The following is a 17867-nucleotide window of genomic DNA, read 5'->3' on the forward strand; positions in this document are numbered from 1 at the left end:
CCAGGGTATGTCCAGAGATGCCATCTAAGAGCCAAGGCCTGCTACTGGGGACCCATAAATCCCACGTGGTGCTCTCCCCCACTGTGACCGAGCTGGTATCTAAGCTGTAAGCTTCCCTCTCCTTTTCTCAAGCAAAAGGAGTCTCTTCTTGTAGCCACCACAGCTTTGAATATGCAGGTCACACCTGAAACCAGCATGTCTCAAGTCTCACCCAAGGCCTATGGTGTGTATTACCTGGTTACCGCTACTGATTATTCAGGGCCCAAGGGCTCTTTGGTCAGCAAGTGATGAATCCTGCCAGGACTGGGTCCTTTCCTTCAAGGCAGTGGGTTTCTTTCCGGCCCATAGTGTGTCTGGATATGTCATCTGGGAGCTGGGGCCTCACGACTCTGCCCTGTGCCCTATCCTACTGAGGCTAAGCTTACATCCAGGTTACAAAAACAAAGTTCTCTTTATTTTTCCTTCTCATCTCTTCAAGTGGAAGGAAGGGGTCTCTTTTGGAGCTGCAAGCTGTGTTGCCTGGGGTTGGGGAAGGAGTGATGCAAGCACTCCCTAAGCTTCCCTGACTGGTGTCTCACTAGGGTGGGTGTCCCCCAGGCCCACTGGCTCTAAGCCCAGCACAGCACTAGGACTTGCGTAGGAGTTGTAGTCTTTGTGGACTAGACAGACTCCTGAAAAAAGGAACAAGAAAATATTGGTCAGGTATTTTGTATAATGTCCCTTAATTTGGGTTTATCTAATGTTTTCTCATGACTAGCCTGGGATTATGGATTTTTTAAAAAATTAAGTCTGAACAAATGGGTTATGGATTTTTGAGAAGAAAACCAGAGAGGTGACATGCCTTTCCCATGTCATCGTGTCAAGATGTATTTGATAATCAATGTGACTTTTTACGGTGATATTAACCTTGATCACTTGGTTAAGATGTTGTCTTCATGTAAAGTTATCATTTTTTCCTTTTCCCTACACTATTCATTAGAAAACAGTCATTAAGTCCAGCCACACTCAAAAAGAGAGGAATTAGATTCAATTTCCTGGCTGGGCACAGCAGCTCACACCTGTAATCCCAGCACTTTGGGAGGCCGAGGCGGGCAGATCACTTGAGGTCAGAAGTTCAAGACCAGCCTGGCCAACATGGAGAAACCTGATCTCTACTAAAAATACAAAAATTAGCAGGCGTGGTGGCATGTTCCTGTAATCCCAGCTACTTGGGAGGCTGAGGCACAAGAATTGCTTGAACTCGAGAGGCAGAGCTTGCAGTGAGCCAAGATAGCACCACTGCACTCCAGCCTAGGCAACAGAATGAAACTCCATCTCAAAAACCAAAACAAAAGAGATTCCACTGCCTGAAAGAGGAATATCAAAGAATTTGTGCAATCACTGCAGTAATTAATAAGTCCTTAGGGAAGAGGCATTTTGAGGCTATGCAGAAATCCTGCTTCTCTGTGAAGTTCCCCCCGCTAATTTTTAGTACCCATCAGTGGACCTTGACTCCACAAGGTCTTTTTCTTTTTCTTTGCTGCAGGGTGGTCTAATGATCTGTTTCCTGACTACAAAATGCACCTAAAAGGGAGTTTAGAGATTTAGCTGTCATGGTGGGGTGATAAATAGATTCTCAGCCCTGATTACTATATGAGCTTCTGGTTTGGTTAGATTTTCTGTTTCTGCATTTCTCTTTTTTTTTTTGAGACGGAGTCTCGCTCTGTCGCCCAGGCTGGAGTGCAGTGGCTGATCTTGGCTCACTGCAAGCTCCGCTCCCTGGGTTCACGCCATTGTCCTGCCTCAGCCTCCGGAGTGGCTGGGAATACAGACGCCCGCCACTACGCCCGGCTAATTTTTTGTATATTCAGTAGAGATGGGGTTTCACCGTGTTAGCCAGGATGGTCTCGATCTTCTGACCTCGTGATCCACCCGCCTTGGCCTCCCAAAGTGCTGGAATTACAGGCGTGAGCCACCGCGCCCGGCTGTTTCTGCATTTCTTGAAGTTTGTCCCTCACAAAGCTTCCTGGCTATTATTCTCTGATCAGTCCAGGTATATGTTGTTGATTGTATTTAGGCTACAGGAAAAGTCTGGGCTAAGAGGCTGCCACTGAAAACATTGATTAGTGTCACAAGTCACATGGGAGGCAAGTTGTGAAATGACCAGAAAAGCAGGTTTTTAGAAAACATTATGTAGCTGCACTATCTCTGTTTCTCTATTACTGTGATATCTCTCTTAGATTACTTTGGACTGAGAACTGATGAGTTCCTGGTAAACAAAATCAGACTAGGCATGCCGTCCTAGACATTGAGAGGGGCAGATGCCAAGCTCTTGAGTGTGCGTGTGTGGGGCAGGGGGCTGCATTTAGAACAGCCTTTGTAGTCAAGTACCCAGTCTATGCTAAGTCTCTGTGTGATATAGTTAGGTATTTCTCCTATGCATGATTATTTAATTAAAGACTGTCACTTTCCTTAGATTGGAAAGTTTTTAAAGGAAGGACTATTTCTATTTTGTTTATCACCGTGAGTCCAGCACATCTTCAGGCACATAATAGGCACTATATTATATTAACTGAATGAATGAATGACAAGTAACTTGGAGTTAGAAATGTCCATGCTTTTCCTACAGTTTTCTCAACCTCCCCATAACTTCAGTCACAGAAACAGTCTTGTATTATGGTGATTATATTCTCTAGTACTTATTAGAATAGTGCTATATTTACTTACACTATTAGGTAAGAAGACAGTTGTGGATTAGCCTAAGGACTGAGTTATATTGCAGAACACAGTTAAGGATAGATTGAATTGAGGTCTAAACAACTTTAAAGCATATGGGAAAGATACAGATTGTGGAGTTGGGGATATTTGGATTCAAATCCCAGCATTACCACTTATTAGCTATGCATTGTAGAAATTAACTAATCTCCCTGAGATTCAGTTTCTCCTCCTGTAAAATAGGAATAATAGTATCTTTCTCATAGCATTTATTGTAAGGATTAGGGGAAATTCTTTGTTTTGTTTGTTTGTTTGTTTGTTTGTTTTGCTACAGAGTCTCGCTCCATCGCCCAGGCTGGAGTGCAGTGGCACAAACTTGGCTCACCTCTGCCTCCTGGATGCAATCAATTCTCCTGTCTCACCTCCCAAGTAGCTGGGACTGCAGGTGCCCGCCACCATGCCGCCCATCTAATTTTTGTGTGTTTTTTTTTAGTAGAGACGGGGTTTCAACATATCAGTCAGGCTGGTCTCGAACTCCTGACCTCAGGTGATCCATCTGCCTCGGCCTCCCAAAGTGCTGGGGTTACAGGCGTGAGCCACCACACCTGGCAGGAAATTTTATATATATGTACACATAGGTCTAAATATAGCTCATGTAAGAAATACATATGTACTTACATGTGTATATATCTGCATTTTATATATAACACATATGTATATGGAAATATTCTAATATGTATATATGCATGTCTGCTATGCCTCTACCTCCTTATCTACCTGTGTTATAAATCTGCAGTTCCTGACACATGGTCATTGTATGAGTCAGGGTCCACATTAAGTATTTCAATAGATTATTATTATTATTTTTTTTTAGGACTGGGGAAGGGGAGCTTAACAGAAAAAAAATTAATAGAAGGAGCTGGTTAAACAGGTGCTAGAAGAGTGAAGAAGCAAAGAAGAAAGTAAATGCTGGAAGCAGCTACCACTCCCTGGTCCAGGGTACTAAGAGAAGAGGCTGGGGGATTAAAATCCAGAAACTGGAAAGAAAGGCCTGCCGTTCCCAAGAGGCGCCTGGTGCCAGTGCCTGGGCGGGTGGCGGGAGCGGGGAGAGGACACAATGTGGCTGGTTCCGGGAGTGCAAAACAAAAACAAAACAAAACATAAAAAAAACCACACACACACACAAAAAAAACCAGGAGACTGGTACTAACCGCTGCCAGGATGAAGGCTGAGTACAGACACAAATAACACTGACCGGACACAGAGAGGAACGAGCCCCTTTCCCTCCTCCCGGCTTGCAGGCTCCCTCTACTGCCCCCTATCGGCAGAGCCTAGCACGTCGCCAGCAAGCAAAGGGAAACGGGTTTTGCAGGGTCTGGGACCGGCCCCATCATGACAAAGCCAAGTATGTGTGCAAGCGAGGGGATGGAACGGAGAGACAATAGCTTAGTAACTTAATTTACTCATTCGCCATTTTAACAGCTGCCTAGAATTTCATTGTACAATTAGAGCACAATTTATCCATTTTCATGGTGCTAGATATTTATGTTGTTTCTGAATTTTTATTTGAAATGATGCTACTGTGAACATTCCTTTAATTCTTTTTGGATCATAAAATTTTGGGGAAGAGCTCGCATGACATTCTGCAAAGCATAAAGGAGTTATTAATATATTTTCACCCACTATTGAATGTTTAAATATTATATAAGTCTAGGTGTGGTAAGTACTATAAGCACACTGTTTTCTCCCATTTCATCCTCTTGGCAAGAGAACTCTCCTAGAAAGAAGACTAGCACCTAGCAGAATGCTTTGAATAGAGCAGGCTTCAATAAAGATTTGACATTGATGATACTGAAGAGATAACCTGGCTAGTAACAAGATGTTGCATAGAGATTCCAAACATTAATTTCCTTCCTTGCCGAATGTAAGCAAACACAAACAGCAAGTGCTAATGGTAAATGTGGTAAAGCACTAATTTCTCTGAGTTGGTCAATATTTAGCTGAGGCATGTCAGTTCAAAGCCTCCCACAATGTTTCTCCTTCATTAAGCAAGTCATCTCTGAGATATTCTGTAATTTTCTGTATATCTTCTTTATTATATGGTTAGTTTTTCTGTTAAAGATCATGTGTGGGCTGGGCATGGTGGCTCACGCCTGTAATCCCAGCACTTTGGGAGGCCAAGGCAGGCGGATCACGAGGTCAGGAGATCAAGACCATCCTGGCCAACATGGTGAAACCCCATCTCTACTAAAAATACAAAAAATTAGCTGGGTGTGGTGGCTAGTGCCTGTAATCCCAGCTACTCGGGAGGCTGAGGCAGGAGAATCTCTTGAACCCAGGAGGTGGAGGTTGCAGTGAGCTGAGATCGCGCCATTGCACTCCAGCCTGGGTGACAGAGCGAGAGACTCTGTCTCAAAAAAAAAAAAAAAAAAAGATCATGTGTGGGCCGGGTGCAGTGTCTCACCCTGTAATCCTAGCACTTTGGGAGGCCGAAGCGGGAGGATAGATTCAAGCCAGGAGTTCGAGACCAGCCTGGGCAAAATAGCAAGAACCCCGTCTCTACAGAATAGTTTTAAAAATTAGCTGGGTGTAGTGGTGCATGCCCCTAATCCCAGCTACTTGGGAGGATGAGGTGGAAGGATCGCTTGGGCCCAGGAGTTTGAGGAACCCTCAACTTCACTCCAGCCTGGGTGGAGCAAGGCCCTGCCAAAAAAAAAAAAAAAAAAAAAAAAAAGGCCGGGTGAGGTGGCTCACGCCTGTAATCCTAGCACTTTGGCAGGCCAAGGTGGGAGGATCACTTGAGGTCAGGAGTTCAAGACCAGCCTGGCCAACATGGTGAAACCCCATCTCTAATAAAAATACAAAAATTAGCTGGGCGTGGTGGCAGGTGCCTGTAATCCCATCTACTCAGGAGGCTAAGTCAGGAGAATCGCTTTAACTGGGAGGCAGAGGTTGCAGCGAACCTAGATGGTGCCACTGCACTCCAGCCTGGGTGACAGAGTGAGACTTTGTCTCAAAAAAAAAAAAAAAGAGAGAAAGGAAGGGACGACAAAGAAAGGAATGAAGAGAGAGTGAGAGTAAGAAAGAAAGAAGGAAAGAAAGAAAGAAAAAGAAGGAAAGAAAGAAAGAAAGAAAAAGGAAGGAAGGAACAGAGGGAGGGAGGGAGGGAAAGGAAAGGAAAGTAATGCTTGGTGTATGCAAGGCAGATAAAAATTTTTTGGAAAAGCAAGGCTGCCACCTTGTGGAACATTTGTATTGAATGCTTTCACTTTAAATCAACTGTAACGCCACAAGTGATTTGCAGGATTCTTTTAATTTTTCTCAATACGAGTTTTCTCCCTGCATTTCATCATTTTGTCTCATTCATTCTATGGCATCGATGTGGTATTAGTGTCAGTTTGCACTCCAGCTTTTGAAGATATGCAGTTTCCATTAAAGAAAACTTAGTGACTCACTTTTCCTCTACCGCCTCTGTCTACGGATCTGTGTGCTTATCTGCATGGAACTCTGACTTTGAAGTCTGTCTTGTACTCCCTCAGAAAAATATCAGGAAAATGTCTTTAAAAGTCCATTAACTGTTACAATTTAGAATTAAACACCTGTCACTTCCAAGGCAGAGGTGAGAAAATGTGAAGTTAAACAAATCACAGGGGATGCCTCCTCTGAGCATGGAAACTTCTCTCCCTAACTGGCTTGAGTTAGGTTCAGCTGTTCAACATGTGCACTTGATGTTGGATCTTCTTTGGCATGATGTTGGCAGAGACATTGGAATCTAGAGAACTGTTTAAGGCATGAACCTGGCAACGTGGGCGCTGCTTTTTCTCCTTTCTTCTCCTTCCCTTGCTTATACATCACTGGGGCAGAGGTGAGGGGTGGCAGAAATATCACTTATGGGATCAGAAAATGAAAACCCAGGACTCAAAAGGCTGGCAGCTGAGGGTCTAGACGACTCCTCTCTGCTTACTTAAATCCCTACTGTCTTACCTCTTGGCCCACAATAAAAGTAAAACATGCCCCAGGGAGAGAAAAAGCAAAATATTATGAATTGAATTAAAACCGTGTACATAGCTCTTAATTTATCGCATGCTGTCAAATGTATTGGCTATAAAGGGATAAGTATGTCAAAGTCTTGGAGCCAGGCAGCCAATTTGAAAGTTCTCCTGGTTGGCCGTGGTGGCTCATGTCTGTAGTCCCACCCAGCACTTTGGGAGGCTGAGGTTTGTGGGTCACTTGAGGTCAGGAGTTTGAGACCAACTTGGCCAACATGGCAAAACCCCGTCTCTTCTAAAAATACAAAAATTAGCTGGTTGTGGTGGTGCACGCCTATAGTCCCAGCTACTTGGTAGTAGGCTGAGGCACAAGAATCGCTTGAACCTGGGAGGCAGAGGTTGCAGTGAGCCAAGATCATGCCACTGCATACTCCAGCCTGAGGAAGACTCTGTCTAAAAAAAAAAAAAAAAGAAGATTCTCCTGTGACTTTCACCCTGATCCTCTAGTGTTGAGTGTAATTTGCCCTGCGGTCCCCTGGAGTCTCCTAAGCTGGTCTTAGCCTACAGAATGGCACAGCTTAGAGTAACAATCCACTGTGTCCGCCCAGCACCCTTGCTGCCGTCTGGGAGTAGTCACGCCCATCTTTTAGAAAATGTTCCTTCCGGCCGGGCGGGGTGGCTCACGCCTGTAATCCCAGCACTTTGGGAGGCTGAGGCGGGTGGATCACTAGGTCAGGAGTTCGAGACCGTCCTGGCTAACGCGGTGAAACGCCGTCTCTACTAAAAATACAAAAAACATTTAGCCGGGCGTAGTGGCGGGCGCCTGTAGTCCCAGCTACTCCGGAGGCTGAGGCAGGAGAGTGGCGTGAACCCGGTAGGCGGAGGTTGCTGTGAGCCGAGATTGCGCCACTGCACTCCAGCCTCCAGCCTGGGCAACAAAGCGAGACTCTGTCTCAAAAAAAAAAAAAAAAAAAAGAAAGAAAGAATATGTTCCTTCCCTGCTGCCCTCCAACAGTGCAGGGACATGGCAGCTGCCGTGTTGGTATAGACCCTGCCCTCCTGGCTGCAGTGGATTGGTCTGGAATAGAACCTGGTTCAGACAGGGCAGCCAATCAGCCCCTTTCCCAGAGATTTTTGACTCTTAGGGAGAGCATAGTTAGAATTTCTCTGGTGTACATGCAGTAAAAGAGAATGAAATTGCTACCCAGATCGAAGTAGAGAAAAGCCTGGTGAGAGTTCCGAGGGCTTCAGGTCCTCAGTTGGAGTTTTCCTACGTCCCAGCTGCTCCCCTGACCTCCCCAGGTTTGACCCTGTGACACTCCTGTAGACCTTTCCTATCAACTCCTCTTTTGTCTAACCCATTTCGAGATGACTTTCTGTTGTTTCTGTCCAAGAGTCCTAATGATTACATATGGAGAAACCTGTATCAAGGTCCCAGCTTGGCCAGGAAAGATTCGAGTACCAAAGAGTATTCCTTCCCTGTAAGCAGATGATATGGAAACCAGATTATCAGAAGGTTGCTCGGAGACCGTAAAATCAGAACAAGGTGTACTAACATAATAACGTGATTAACAGCAACAGGCTCTGCTAATCTAACGTGCTCATCTTTAAATAGAAATAGATCTGTCATGAAAGGAGAATGCTTCGTTGCTAGGGCTCCCTTTATTTGGAAAGCTCTTGGATGACCACTGCATTGCTTGTTTCTGTGGCCTCTTTTCTATGCTTGCATGACTGACTCAATGCTCTTTGTGATTTATTTATTTGTTCAGGGATTCAAAAATATTTATTGGACATCTACTCTATGACAGGTGTTGTTTCAAGTTTCAAGAACACAATGGTGAATAAAGAAAAATTCCTGCTGTAGTCCCAGCTACTCGGGAAGCTAAGCCAGGAGGATTGCTTGAGCCCAGGAGGTCTGGACTAGCCTGGACAACATAGTGAGACCCTGTCTCTAAAAAGGAAAAAAATCCCTGCTTTTATGGAACTTACATTCTAATAGGATAAGCAGATATAAACAGATATACAAATATATGTATATATACACATTTTAAGTTGATGATCAAGTTCTAGTAAGAAAAACAACATAGAGAAAGAGGGTGGGGTACAATGGGGATTGGTTTGTTATGGTCTTTTTTTTTTTTCTCCTTCCAGTTTATTTATTTTTCTCTCTAAGACCAATTTACAGTCTATTAGCACTGTGTGAGCACCTGTTTCACCACATATACAAACCCCTCCAAGACTATAAGGATATCATTAGGCTTTATATCAGTGTCAGGTAGTAAACATAATTTTGTACATACTTTGCATTTTATTTCTCCTGAGGTTCAGTATTTTCCATGGGTAAACAATAAATATGTTAGAACATATTTATTCAAGATGAGACATTTGTCTCCTGGTGAGACATCTTGGTCTAATGCTGACTCTGGGGACATTTGGTTGTTGACTGTGAGGTGGCTATCTACATGTGGAGTGGAGGAGTCCTGGCCTTGGATTGAGGAGAACAAGGTCAACTTCTCACCTCACTCGTTTCTGGCTTTTGCGACCTTGGATAAGTTTAACTTTCTCTCTCCTAGGTTTAGTTTTCTTGTGTGTAAGTGCTGCCTTCTCACTGTGAGCTCACACAGCCTTTCCTCAGTGTGTGTGTGCAGAGATCTCTCTCTTCCACTTTTTTTAAATGAATTATTTAATTTGGAGGACCAAGTGCAGAATCTTCCTCTACTTATAAGGCCAAAAATCCTATCCAATTAGAAACTCATTCTAATGACCTCATTTAACCTTAATTACCTCTTACAAGTCCTGTCTAGAAATACAGTCATATTGGGGTTTAGGGCTTCAATATACGAATTTGGGGGGATGGGGAGACAATTCAGTCCATAGTAAACACTTTCTCGAAGAGTAGTTACAATGTTTATAAGAGACAATGTAGGTAAAAGTAGTTTCAGTTACCTGCAGCTAAATGCAGTTTATTATCCCTTCAGAATCCTCTGCAGAAGAGGCACCTAATAAATATTATTTATTTGGACTTAACCTAAGGTATTATTCTTTATATAGTGCCTTCCCATGGAATGATTGAAATCATGTTTATCATTTTGCAGCACAGTTTATTTCTTATAGGGTCATGGCTAATAAAAAACATGGGAAAATGACCCTCACTAATAGAGTCATTAATTTAAATAAGGAAATGTAATTTCAAATTTTTTCTTTTTGGGGGCCTATTACGTTAACAATGCTTTTAAAAATTTATTGTAAATATGAGTGTTATAAAACAGAAATTTCCACATTATGTTGGGATTATAAATTGGCATGCTCCTGAATAGCAATTTTTGGCAATGCATATTTAAGGATCTTAGATAATGTTTTTCACTTTTGATTTAGTATTTCCACTTCATGAATATCCTTAGGAAATAATATTTGAACAAAGATTTATGTACAAAGATGTGTGAGCTGTATGATCTATAATGCATAGAAATGGGAATCAATTGAAATAGTCCATAATGAAGAACTAATTACTTATCAATATATCCATAAATTATGCATCCATTAAAAATTATTTCTAAGCATATTTAGTTATCTAAATATATATATAGCATGACACCTAAGTTTATTTTATATATATGGGATACATGATGTGAGATATATGTATATATGAATGTGAATATATATGATATACATATAAAAAGAATAGGAGATACTAGGAGTTATTTTAATTTTGTCTTTATGTTTCTCATTTCATAAATTTCTATGAAGAACATTTTAATTGTTTTATACCCAGAAAAAAGAGGGGCTAGTTTTTCTTAGCCAGGTGTATATTGGTCCTTCCTTGATTGTTTAAAATACCTCCGTTTATCTTCTTCTAGGATCACTCATTTTTCATTGGTTTATTTGTAAGATGAAGCACTGTCCAGCAGTGACGACTGTTGGAAAAGATATGTCTAAAGGCTGTTGTCTCCTCTTGGCAAGTTTACTTGGAGCTGGTGTACTGGGTGACGGCCTTGGTGCCCTCCGACACGGCGTGCTTGGCCAGCTCCCCGGGCAGCAGCAGGCGCACAGCCGTCTGGATCTCCCTGGAGGTGATGATCGAGCGCTTGTTGTAATGCGCCAGGCCGGAAGACTCGCCCGCGATGCCCTCAACGATGTCATTAACGAATGGCCTTGGAAGAGATGCGGGTGTCGGGGTGGACCTGCTTCAGCAGAGTAGCTCTCCTTGCGGCTGCGCTTGCGCTTCTTGCCAACCTTCTGCGCCTTGGTCACCGCCTTCTTGGAGCCCTTCTTCAGGGAGGGAGCAGACTTGGCTGGCTCAGGCATCTTCAAACACCAGAAGTATGTCCCTGATGGTCTTTTTCACAAGGATAACTGAGTAGAGACCTGACTGATGCAGAGGGGTGAGTCCTATGAAAGACCCAGAGTTGGAAGATTATAGGCCAGGTGAACAGCAAGGCAATGACTTTGAGGCAGGAGAGAGCTTGAGGGGTTCCAGGGAAAACAAGATGGCCATAGTGGTTGAGCAAGAGTGGGAAGGAGAGAAGGTGAGGTTGGGAGTGTCAGGGGCAGGGGCAGGAAGAACCTTGAGACCTTGGTGAAGGTTTGTATTTTATTGTTATGGGAGCCTTTGAACATAACTTAAAGAAGTTATTTACTTTTTTGGTGGTTGTCCTTGAGTTTGCAGTATATGTTTATAACTAACCCATGTCTTCTTTCTTTCCTTCTTTTTTTTGGGGGAGGTGGGGTGGGATGGGGGGGGACAGGGTCTCTGCCACCCAGGCTAGAGTGCAGTAGTGCAATCACAGCTCACTGCAGCCTCAAACTCCTGGGCTCCAGCGATCCTCCTGCCTCAGCCTCTTGAGTAACTAGGGCTGTAGGTATGCATCGCTATGCCCGGCTAATTTATTTTATTTTTAATTTTTTGTAGAGATGGGGGTCCATGTCCTCTTTGAAATAACACTATACTACTTCAAGGGTATGCAGGTACTTTATACAAGAGCATTTTCTCTTTTCTTTCTTTCTCTTTCTGTCTCTCTGTCTCTCTCTTTCTCTTTCTTTGTCTTCTTTCTTTCTCTTTCTGTCTGTCTCTTTCTCTTTGTCTTCTTTCTTTCTCTTTCTTTGTCTTTCTCTTTCTTTTCTTTTCTTTCTTTTCTTTCTTTTTTTTTTGACAGAGACTCACTCTGTCACCCAGGCTGGAGTGCAGTAGTGCAATCTCAGCTCACTGCAACCTCCACCTCCCGGGTTCAAGTGATTTTCCTGCCTCAGCCTCCTGAGTAGCTGGGATTACAGGCATAACCCATCACGCCTGGCTAATTTTTGTATTTTTAGTAGAGACGGGGTGTTTCCCCATGTTGGTCAGGCTGGTCTTGAACTCTTGACCTCAAGTGATCCTCCCGCTTTGGCCTCCCAAAGTGCTGGGATTACAGGCATGAGCCACCATGTCAGGGCCCTCTGGAGGTTTTTTTTTTTTTTTTTTTTTTTTTTTGAGACAGAGTGTTGCTCTGGTTGCGCAGGCTGGAGTGCAATGGCATGATCTCAACCAACTAACTGCAACCTCCACCTCCCAGGTTCAAGCTATTCTCCTGCCTCAGCCTCCCATGTAGCTGGAATTATAGGCATGTGCCACCATGCTCGGCTAATTTTGTACTTTTAGTAGAGACGGGGTTTCTCCATGTTGGTCAGGCTGGTCTCGAACTCCCCACCTCAGGTGATCCATCCACCTTGGCCTCCCAAAGTTCTGGGATTACAGGCGTGAGCCACCACACCCAGCCTGGAGTTTTTAACTCTCAAACTTGTCCGTAAGGAGCCTCTGTCAATACATTAAATCACAGTTTAGGTTTTCTTTATTTCCTTCCATCTTTGAATTTCATTTGTTCTTTTTCTGGTTCCTTAAGGTGTAAAGTTGTTGATTTGAGATTATTGTTCTTTTTAAATGTAAACATTTATAGCTATTAATTTCTGTCTTAAGGCTGGACGCGATGGCTCATGCCTGTAATCCCAGCACTTGAGGCCAAGGTGGGCGGATCACCTGAGGTCAGGAGTTTGAGACCAGCCTGGCCAACATGGTGAAACCCTATCTCTACTAATAATACAAAAATTAGCCAGGATGGTGGCAGGCGCCTGTAATCCCAGCTACTTAGGAGGCTGAGGCAGGAGAATTGCTTGAACCCGGGAGGCAGAGGTTGCAGTGAGCCGATATCGTGCCATTACACTCCAGCCTGGGGGACAAGAGCAAGACTTCATCCCCCCCAAAAAAAAAAATTTCCCTCTTTAGCACTGCTTTCACTGCATCTCATAGTTTTGCTGTTGTGTTTTCATTTTTATTTGTCTCAACGTATGTTCTCATTTCCCTTTTCTTTGAGGCATTGGTTGTTTGAGTGGGTTGTTAATTTCCACATATTTGTGGCCCAGTGGCTTTTATATATACTTATGAAGTTACCTTTAGTAGTATTTTTTTTTCTTCTGTCTTTGAATTACTGTCTATTGTCTTTTCATTTCAGTCTGAAGCACTCCGTTTAGCATTTCTTGTAGGGCAGTACTGGTAATAAGACTCAGTCTTTTAAATCTGGATATATCTTAATTTCTCCTTCATTCTTGAATGATAGTTTTGCTGTATATAGAGTTCTCGGTTGACAGTCTTTTTCTTTCAAGACTTTAAATATGTCATCCAGTGCCTTTTGGCCTCCATGGTTTCTAGTGGAAGATAAACTGTCATTCTTAATGAAGGTCTCTTGTACATGCATGAGTCACTTTTTTTTTTTTTTTTTTTTTTCCACGGAGTCTTGCTCTGTCGCCCAGGCTGGACTGCAGTGGTGTGATCTTGGCTCACTGCAAGCTCTGCCTCCAGGTTCTGGCCATTCTCCTGCCTCAGCCTCCTGAGTAGCTGGGACTACAGGTGACCGCCACCACGCCCAGCTAATTTTTTGTATTTTCAGTAGAGATGGGGTTTCACCGTGTTAGCCAGGATGGTCTCAATCTCCTGACCTCATGATCCGCCCACCTCAGCCTCCCAAAGTGCTGGGATTACAGGCATGAGCCACCGCACCTGGCCGCATGAGTCACTTCTACCTGATGCTTTCAAAATTATCTTTTTGTCTATGGGAGTTGATAATTTGACTATATGTCTCAGTGTGTATCTCTTCAAAGTTTTCCTGCTTGGAGTTCATTGAGCTTCTTAGATGTATATATTCATGTTTTTAATCAGATTTGGGAAGTTGTCAGCTATTATTTCTTCAAATTTTTTGCTGCTCCTTTCTCTATGTCTTCTCCTTCTGGGATTCCTATAATGTGTATTTGGTATGCTTGATGAGGTCCCATAGGTTCCTCAGGCTGTCTTCATTTTTCTTCACTCTTTCTTTCTTTTCCCTAGACTGGGTAATTTTCAATGTCTTATCTTCAATTTTGCCAGTCCTCTCTTTTCCTTGTTCAAACTTGCTGTTGAATCCCTCTATTGCATTTTTCATTTTAGTTATTGCAGATTTTGTTTGGCTCCTTTTTATAATTTCTATTTATACTTTCATTTTGTTCAGACATTGTTTTCTTGATTTCTATTAGTGTTTATTCATGGTTTCCTTTAGAAAACATATTGAACATATTTAAAACAATTGATTTAACATCTTTGACTAATAATTCCAAAGTCTGGTCTTCTTTAGGTATGGTTTCTGTGAAATTCTTTATATCCTGTGAATGGATCATACTTTCCTGTTGCTTTACATGTTTTATAATTTTTTGTTGAGAACTGGTTATTCTGAGCATTATGTTGTAGTAACTCTGGAATCTAATTCTACTCCTTAGGGATTGCTTGTTTTTGCTTGTTGTGGGCTGGACCCATTCCTATTTGTGCCTTTTCCAAACAATGTATCTTCCTTGTTGTGTGTGGCTACTGAGGTTTCTTTTCTGTTATCTCTACAGTTAGCCAGTAACCTGACAAAAATGTCCTTAAATGTCTGACTTTCAAGAAGGAGGGAAGATATCCTGTCTCTTTAAATCTCTTGTGGCTGGGAAGCTGCTTCAGCTTGTGAAGTGGGCATTAAAAAATGGTTGGCCTCCAGCCTGGCCCCTCATCACTTTATCAAAATCAGCAAGCAGCTAGCAGAACACATGACCCCCACTCCTGGAGGATAAGGTCTTTTGTGCTCACACTGGTTCCAGGAAGCTGCCCCAGGAATGTGGGCTGCTTCCCTGACAGTTTCCTGATGCTGGGTGGCAGGCTTTTTGCTGTTGCTGCTACATCACAAAAGGCTGAAGTTCACCAAAATTTACTAGCAACTTCATCAAACTCTCCCTCAAATGTCAGAAATGTTCCAAAATAAGACAATTCCTGCCAGTTCAATAGTTGTTTAGGTGAAGGGACAGATTCCTGGAGCCTCCTGCTCTGCTATCTTCCCTGACATCATTCCCTACATTATGCCTTTTTTTTGAGACAGAGTTTCACTTTGTTGCTCAGGCTGGAGTGCAATCTTGGCTCACTGCAACCTCTGCCTCCTGATTTCAAGCGATTCTCCTGCCTTGGCCTCCTGAGTCACTGGAATTACAGGTGCCTGCCATCACACCTGGCTAATCTCATGTTTTTAGTAGAGGCGGGGTTTCACCATGTTAGCCAGGCTGGTCTTGAATTCCTGACTTCAAGTGATCCTCCCGCCTCGGCCTCCCAAAGTGCTCGGATTACAGGCATGAGCCACCATGCCTGGCCTCTACATTATGCTTTGATTTTTATGATTTAACACCTGGAGGGTAACCTTGTTTCCAAACTTTGGGAGGACATTTCAATTTGTTTCCATTCCCAGAACCTGTTCTGCTTTCTAACCGTATCAGAACCCCTGGCCAGTCTCTCTTGATATTTGCTATCTGTGTCCAAAGCAGAGGCCAAACCAGAGCTGTCTTAAAGCTCCCTTAAGCCATCTACTCTCTCCTGTCCAGTCCTGTAACAGAAAAGCTGGTATGTGAGAACAGCTAAAGCACATATGGGGATTTTTTTTTTTTTTTTTTTTTTTGAGACAGAATCTCCCTCTGTCACTCAGGCTGGAATGTAGTGGCACAATCTCGGCCCACTGTAACCTCTGCCTCCCAGGTTCAAGTGATTCTCCTGTCTCAGCCTTCCGAGTAACTTGGACTACAGGTGCGTGCCAGGATGCCTCGCTAAATTTTTGTATTTTTAGTAGAGTTGGGGTTTTGCCATATTGGCCAGGCTGGTCTTGAACTCCTGACCTCAGGTGATCCGCCTGCCTCAGCCTCCCAAAGTGCTGGGATTAGCGGTGGGCATGAGCCACCGTGCCTGGCCCAGGGTTATTTCTTGTTCCACTTTCCTTTTTGTTAACTAATTCATAGGTCAAACATTTTTTTGAGCGAGTATGTGCTAGCTCTTTGATGGATGCTGGGAGATAGCGTTAAAGGAGTCATGTTGTTGCTATCAATGAGCTCATAGCCAAGGGGAAGAGGCAAATACATAAAAGAATTCCAGTATACTTTAATGAGGCTTGAAAGATATGTGGACAGAAACGTGTGAGGGAACTAACAGCATGTATCCCTAAATGAATTTGAGGGAAAAGCAGGGAGAAAAATGGAAAACTTTGCAGATGAAATGGCACTGGAAGTTAGGCAGGTGGGAGCATCTTCAACAGAAGCACTAGTAAGTGCAAACACTTGGAGAGTGAGAACATGGCCAAGCGGGGTGATGAGAAGTAATTCAGTATTGTTGTAGTGTAAAGTGTGTGGTGGCAAGTGTTAGGATATGAGAAAGATAGATGGGGCAAGATCATGTAGAGTTGAATTTTATTTTTTAAGCGATTTTAGTGTCGTAAGATTATCAGAAGCGTAGTGACATGATCAGATTTATGTTTCAGAAAATAAGTCTGTTGTGAAGGAGGATCTGAAATAAGAAGTTAACAGCATTAATATTTAAAAGCTGCTAAAGGTTTACTCCAGTGCATTTCATACATCATCTCAATCCTTACAAAAAGGCTATGACATCACAACTAAAATCATTCCTTTTTAGATTAAAAATGGGCACAGAGAGCTCAAGTACTTTGCCAAACGGTTATGTGGTGAGTTATATAACTAATGTGGTGAAGCTGAGATTTGAATCCAGGTAGTCTAACAGCAGAGTTTGGATGCTTAATTGCTGTGCCTTACAAGGGGCCGGACAAAGGGCAAGTTAGGATTCCACGGAGATCATCTAAGTAATGAATGATCAGGGCTTGCACTAAGGCAGTGGCAACAGTGTTGTAAGGTGGAGCACATGTCTGGCGATTTTGAGGAAGCAGAATTCACAGGACATGATTGACTATAGAGGAGTAAGGGAGTGAGGATCCGGGATGACTGTCTGGTTCCTAGTTGGTTTCTTGTAGGAGACCCGTTCACTAAGGCAGAAGACATGTGAAGAAATGAGGTTTGGAAAAAGAGGGGGACATAATCAGGTCAGTTTTGGATGTGCTTGAGTTGGACAAACCAAATGGAGAAATCTAGAAAGCAACTGGGCCTGAAGGTGAGGAGAGAACAGAAGCCAGAGGGGTGATGAGATTCCTGAGGGGATGGGCAAGGAGGAGAAGATCCGTGAAGGCAGGGCTCAGATACCCCCTGCAACTGTCTCCCACCTTGAAGGGATAAGCAGAGAAATACAAGCTATCTACCAGAATATCAGACCTAGTGATCATTTATTTAACAAAATGATAGTAAAGAAACAAATGACTGAAGATTCATGCAGTTTAGATTTTTAGGAAGTCCAGCTGCTTTCAAGGTAAATGTCTCCGTACTCCTAGGAGATATTGGCAAATCTAGTTTGCTTATTTGATATATATTTATCCCTATTTTTTTCAAATGGGATCAAGTACTTTTGTAGTAATGACATGACAAACATTATTCGTTTTCAGAAATCTTTTCAGTTATAGTAATTTCCTTTTAGCCTTGAAAAATGGAAAACTATCCTCAACCCTCTAAATACTCTTGTTGTAAGAAAGTCTTCTGATCTCTAACATCACTTTTTTTTTTTTAAATCTTAGTTTTTAATTGTATATATATACTTAAAATGTTTCCTGGTTAGTTTTCAGTCTTCACCTTCTGCAAGTTCCATGACAGCAGGAACCATTTATTTCACCACTGTATGCTTGGGGCCTAGCAGGTTTTTGGCATACTTCTTGATTAACTCATGAACTTTACTAGCTCCTCCCATCCCAAATCTCCTCCTTTCCTCCCTCCCTCCCTCTC

The 17867-nt window shown here is 42.9% G+C and overlaps 1 pseudogene, besides 1 other annotated feature; it reads right to left on the reverse strand.

Moving 5' to 3' along the window:
- Positions 4122 to 4171: a silencer, noted in NCBI's record as "silent region_5162". NCBI's record gives its function as "represses an Ori minimal core promoter by ATAC-STARR-seq in GM12878 lymphoblastoid cells {active_cell/tissue: GM12878}" and the evidence as "EXISTENCE:reporter gene assay evidence [ECO:0000049][PMID:35858748]".
- On the reverse strand, positions 10648 to 10988 carry H2BP6 (H2B histone pseudogene 6; annotated as a pseudogene).

The sequence above is a fragment of the Homo sapiens genome, chromosome 13 (genome assembly GCF_000001405.40).
Source record: "Homo sapiens chromosome 13, GRCh38.p14 Primary Assembly".
Classification (NCBI taxonomy): domain Eukaryota; kingdom Metazoa; phylum Chordata; class Mammalia; order Primates; family Hominidae; genus Homo; species Homo sapiens.